This window comes from Homo sapiens, chromosome 6, assembly GCF_000001405.40.
Source record: "Homo sapiens chromosome 6, GRCh38.p14 Primary Assembly".
NCBI classification, from domain to species: domain Eukaryota; kingdom Metazoa; phylum Chordata; class Mammalia; order Primates; family Hominidae; genus Homo; species Homo sapiens.
Genome location: NC_000006.12, coordinates 63052436 through 63058435, shown reverse-complemented (window position 1 = coordinate 63058435; position 6000 = coordinate 63052436). Strand labels below are relative to the sequence as shown.

At 40.7% G+C, this 6000-nt stretch overlaps 1 annotated feature.

Moving 5' to 3' along the window:
- Window positions 5133-5664: an enhancer, noted in NCBI's record as "H3K27ac-H3K4me1 hESC enhancer chr6:63762677-63763208 (GRCh37/hg19 assembly coordinates)". NCBI's record gives its function as "activates a minimal SCP1, AML or CMV promoter by ChIP-STARR-seq in naive H9 embryonic stem cells {active_cell/tissue: H9 hESC(naive)}" and the evidence as "EXISTENCE:reporter gene assay evidence [ECO:0000049][PMID:30033119]".

Below are 6000 nucleotides of genomic sequence, written 5' to 3'. Positions count from 1 at the left end.
TTGTTATGTTCATTTCTTTTTTGGCCTATAATAAGCATTAATAAATTAATTTTTCTTCATTACAGAGTTGGCTATATCTTAGTCTTTGTTTTTTATTTCCAGTTGTGTGTTCTCATTGGTTTAGTTTTTCTCTCAAACATAAAAAACACATTGTTTCACTAATACTCTTCTCAGGATAACAAAATGAAATATAGGTAGTTTCTTTTTCTTTTTTTTTTAAATTATACTTTAAGTTTTAGGGTACATGTGCACAATGTACAGTTTAGTTACATATGTATACATGTAACATGCTGCTGGTGCGCTGCACCCACTAACTCGTCACCTAGCATTAGGTATATCTCCCAATGCTTTCCTTCCCCCTCCCCCCACCCCACAACAGTCCCCAGAGTGTGATGTTCCCCTTCCTGTGTCCATGTGTTCTCATTGTTCAATTCCCACCTATGAGTGAGAACATGCGGTGTATGGTTTTTTGTTCTTGTGATAGTTTACTGAGAATGATGATTTCCAATTTCATCTATGTCACTACAAAGGACATGAACTCATCATTTTTGATGGCTGCATAGTATTCCATGGTGTATATGTGCCACATTTTCTTAATCTAGTCTATCATTGTTGGACATTTGGGTTGGTTCCAAGTCTTTGCTGTTGTGAATAGTGCCGCAATAAACATATGTGTGCATGTGTGTTTATAGCAGCATGATTTATAGTCCTTTGGGTAGATACCCAGGAATGGGATGGCTGGGTCAAATGGTATTTCTAGCTCTAGATCCCTGAGGAATCGCCACACTGACTTCCACAATGATTGAACTAGTTTACAGTCCCACCAACAGTGTAAAAGTGTTCCTATTTCTCCACATCCTCTCCAGCACCTGTTGTTTCCTGACTTTTTAATGATTACCATTCTAACTGATGTGAGATGATATCTCATTGTGGTTTTGATTTGCATTTCTCTGATGGCCAGTGATGGTGAATATTTTTTCATGTGTATTTTGGCTGCATAAATGTCTTCTTTTGAGAAGTGTCTGTTCATGTCCTTCGCCCACTTTTTGATGGGGTTGTTTGTTTTCTTCTTGTAAATTTGTTTGAGTTTATTGTAGATTCCGGATATTAGCCCTTTGTCAGATGAGTAGGTTGTGAAAATTTTCTCCCATTTTGTAGATTGCCTGTTCACTCTGATGGTAGTTTCTTTTGCTGTGCAGAAGCTCTTTAGTTTAATTAGATCCCATTTGTCAATTTTGGCTTTTGTTGCCATTGCTTTTGGTGTTTTAGACATGAAGTCCTTGCTCGTGCCTCTGTCCTGAAGGGCAATGCCTAGGTTTTCTTCTAGGGTTTTTATGGTTTTAGGTCTAACGTTTAAGTCTTTAATCCATCTTGAATTAATTTTTGTATAAGGTGTAAGGAAGGGATCCAGTTTCAGCTTTCTACATATGGCTAGCCAGTTTTCCCAGAACCATTTATTAAATAGAGAATCCTTTCCCTATTGCTTGTTTTTCTCAGGTTTGTCAAAGATCAGATGGATGTAGATATGTGGCATTATTTCTGAGGGCTCTGTTCTGTTCCATTGGTCTATATCTCTATTTTGGTAGCAGTACCATGCTGTTTTGGTTACTGTAGCCTTGTAGTATAGTTTGAAGCCAGGTAGCGTGATGCCTCCAGCTTTGTTCTTTTGGCTTAGGATTGACTTGGCAATGTGGGCTCTTTTTTGGTTCCATATGAACTTTAAAGTAGTTTTTTCCAATTCTGTGAAGAACGTCATTGGTGGCTTGATGGGGATGGCATTCAATGTCTAAATTACCTTGGGCAGTATGGCCATATTCACGATATTGATTCTTCCTACCCATGAGCATGGAATGTTCTTCCATTTGTTTGTGTCCTCTTTTATTTCATTGAGCAGTGGTTTGTAGTTCTCCTTGAAGTGGTCCTTCACATCCCTTGTAAGGTGGATTCCTAGGTATTTTATTCTCTTTGAAGCAATTGTGAATGGGAGTTCACTCATGATTTGGCTTTCTGTTTGTCTGTTATTAGTGTATAAGAATGCTTGTGATTTTTGTACATTGATTTTGTATCCTGAGACTTTGTTGAAGTTGCTTATCAGCTTAAAGAGATTTTGGGCTGAGACAGTGGGGTTTTCTAGATATACAATCATGTCATCTGCAAACAGGGACAATTTGACTTCCTCTTTTCCTAGTTGAATACCCTTTATTTCCTTCTCCTGCCTAATTGCCGTGGCCAGAACTTCCAACACTATGTTGAATAGGAGTGGTGAGAGAGGGCATCCCTGTCTTGTGCCAGTTTTCAAAGGGAATGCTTCCAGTTTTTGTCCATTCAGTATGATATTGGCTGTGGGTTTGTCATAGATAGCTCTTATTATTTTGAGATATGTCCCATCAATACCGAATTTATTGAGAGTTTTTATCATGAAGCATTGTTGAATTTTGTCAAAGGCCTTTTCTGCATCTATTGAGATAATCGTGGTTTTTGTCTTTGGTTCTGTTTATATGCGGATTACATTTATTGATTTGCATATATTGAACAGCCTTGCATCCCAGGGATGAAGCCCACTTGATCATGGTGGATAAGCTTTTTGATGTGCTGCTGGATTCAGCTTGCTAGTATTGTATTGAGGATTTTTGCATCAATGTTCATCAAGGGTATTGGTCTAAAATTATGTTTTTTGGTTGTGTCTCTGCCAGGCTTTGGTATCAGGATGTTGCTGGCCTCATAAAATGAGTTAGGGAGGATTCCCTCTTTTTCTATTGATTGGAATAGTTTCAGAAGGAATGGTACCAGCTGTTCCTTGTACCTCTGATAGAATTCAGCTGTGAATTCATCTGGTCCTGGACTTTTTTTGGTTGGTAAGCTGTTAATTATTGCCTCAATTTCAGAGCCTGTTATTGGTCTATTCAGAGATTCAACTTCTTCCTGGTTTAGTCTTGGGAGAGTGTATGTGTCGAGGAATTTATCCATTTCTTCTAGATTTTCTAGTTTATTTGCATAAAGCTGTTTGTAGTATTCTCTGATGGTAGTTTGTATTTCTGTGGGATTGGTGGTGATATCTCCTTTATCATTTTTTATTTTGTCTATTTGATTCTTCTCTCTTTTTTTCTTTATCAGTCTTGCTGGCAGTCTATCAATTTTGTTGATCCTTTCAAAAAACCAGCTTCTGGATTCGTTAATTTTTTGAAGGGTTTTTTGTGTCTCTATTTCCTTCAGTTCTGCTCTGATTTTAGTTATTTCTTGCCTTCTGCTAGTTTTTGAATGTGTTTGCTCTTGCTTCTCTAGTTCTTTTAATTGTGATGTTAGGGTGTCAATTTTGGATCTTTCCTGCTTTCTTTTGTCGGCATTTAGTGCTATAAATTTCCCTCTACACACTGCTTTGAATGTGTCCCAGAGATTCTGGTATGTTGCGTCTTTGTTCTCGTTGGTTTCAAAGAACATCTTTATTCCTGCCTTTGTTTCGTTATGTACCCAGTAGTCATTCAGGAGCAGGTTGTTCAGTTTCCATGTAGTTGAGCGGTTTTGAGTGAGTTTCTTAATCCTGAGTTCTAGTTTGATTGCACTGTGGTCTGAGAGACAGTTTGTTATAATTTCTGTTTTTTACATTTGCTGAGGAGAGCTTTACTTCCAACTATGTGGTCAATTTTGGAATAGGTGTGGTGTGGTGCTGAAAAAAATGTATATTCTGTTGATTTGGGGTGGAGAGTTCTGTAGATGTCTATTAGGTCCACTTGGTGCAGAGCTGAGTTCAATTCCTGGGTATCCTTGTTGACTTTCTGTCTCGTTGATCTGTCTAATGTTGACAGTGGGGTGTTAAAGTCTCCCATTATTATTGTGTGGGAGTCTAAGTCTCTTTGTAGGTCATTCAGGACTTGCTTTATGAATCTGGGTCCTCCTGTATTGGGTGCATATATATTTAGGATAGTTAGTTCTTCTTGTTGAATTGATCCCTTTACCATTATGTAATAGCCTTCTTTGTCCCTTTTGATCTTTGTTGGTTTAAAGTCTCTTTTATCAGAGACTAGGATTGCAACCCCTGCCTTTTTTTGTTTTCCATTTGCTTGGTAGATCTTCCTCCATCCTTTTATTTTGAGCCTATGTGTGTCTCTGCATGCGAGATGGGTTTTTCATCTTCCATCGCTGTTACCCTTTCTTCCAGTTGATTGCATCAGCTCCTGAGGCTTCTGCATTCTTCATGTAGTTCTCGAGCCTTGGCTTTCAGCTCCCTCATCTCCTTTAAGCACTTCTCTGTATTGGTTTTTCTAGCTATACATTCGTCTAAATTTTTTTCAAAGTTTTTTAACTTCTTTGCCTTTGGTTTGAATTTCCTCCTGTAGCTCGTAGTTTGATCATCTGAAGCCTTCTTCTCTCAACTAGTCAAAGTCATTCTCCATCCAGCTTTGTTCCATTGCTGGTGAGGAACTGCGATCCTTTGGAGGAGGAGAGGTGCTCTTCTTTTTAGAGTTTCCAGTTTTTCTGCTCTGTTTTTTCCCCATCTTTGTAGTTTTATCTACTTTTGGTCTTTGATGATGGTGATATACAGATGGGTTTTTGGTGTGTATGTCCTTTCTGTTAGTTAGTTTTCCTTCTAACAGGGCCTCAGCTGCAGGTCTGTTGGAGTTTGCTAGAGGTCCACTCCAGACCCTGTTTGCCTGGGTATCAGCAGCGGTGTCTGCAGATCCGTGGTTTTTCATGAACCGCGAATGCTGCTGTCTGATCGTTCCTCTGCAAGTTTTGTCTCAGAGGAGTACCTGGCCATGTGAGGTGTCAGTCTGCCCCTACTGGGGGGTGCCTCTCAGGCTGCTCAGGGGTCAGGGTTAAGGGACCCACTTGAGGGGACTGTCTGCCCGTTCTCAGATCTCCAGCTGCGTGCTGGGAGAACCACTGCTCTCTTCAAAGCTGTCAGACAGGGACATTTAAGTCTGCAGAGGCTACTGCTCTCTTTTTGTTTGTCTGTACCCTGCCCCCAGAGGTGGAGCCTACCCAGGCAGGCAGGCCTCCTTGAGCTGTGGTGGGCTCCACCCAGTTGGAGCTTCCCAGCTGCTTTATTTACCTAAGCAAGCCAGGGCAATGGCGGGCGCCCCTCTCCCACCCTCGCTGCCTCCTTGCAGTTTGATCTCAGACTGCTGTGCTAGCAATCAGCTAGACTCCGTGGGCATAGGACCCTCCAAGCCAGGTGCAGGATATAATCTTGTGGTGCGCCCTTTTTTAAGCCCTTCGGAAAAGCGCAGTGTTCGGGTGGGAGTGACCCGATTTTCCAGGGGCCGTCTGTCACTCCTTTCTTTGACTAGGAAAGGGAACTCCCTGACCCCTTGCACTTCCCGAGTGAGGCAATGCCTCGTCCTGCTTCGGCTCGCGCACCCACTGACGTGCGCCCACTGTCTGGCACTCCCTAGTGAGAAGAACCCGGTACCTCAGATGGAAATGCAGAATTCACCCCTCTCCTGCGTCGCTCACGCTATGGGTAGTTTATTTTGCTGTGCAGAATCTCTTAATTAGATCCTATTTGTCAAGTTTTGCTTTTGTTGTGATTGCTTTTGGCATTTTCATAATGAAATCCTCACCCAAGACTACATCCTGAATGATATTGCCTCAGTTGTCTTCCAGGGTTTTTATAGTTTTTGGTTTACATTTAGGTCTTTAATCCTCTTGACTTAATATTTTTATATGGTGAAAGGTAAGGATCCAGCTTCAGTCTTCTGCATAGGCTGACCAGTTATCCCAGCACCATTTATTGAATAGTGAATTATTTCCTCCATTGCTTGTTTTTGTCCGTTTTGTCAAAGATCAGATGGTTGTAGGCATGCAGTATTACTTCTGGGCTCTCTATTTTGTTCCATTCATCTATGTATCTGTTTTTGTACCAGTACCATGCTGTTTTGGTTACTGTAGCCTGTAATATAGTTTGAATTTGGGTGGTGTGATGCCTCCAGCTTTTTTTTTTTATTATTATTTGTTTTTTCTTTGCATTGCCTTGGCTACTCAGGCTTTAATGGTTCTATA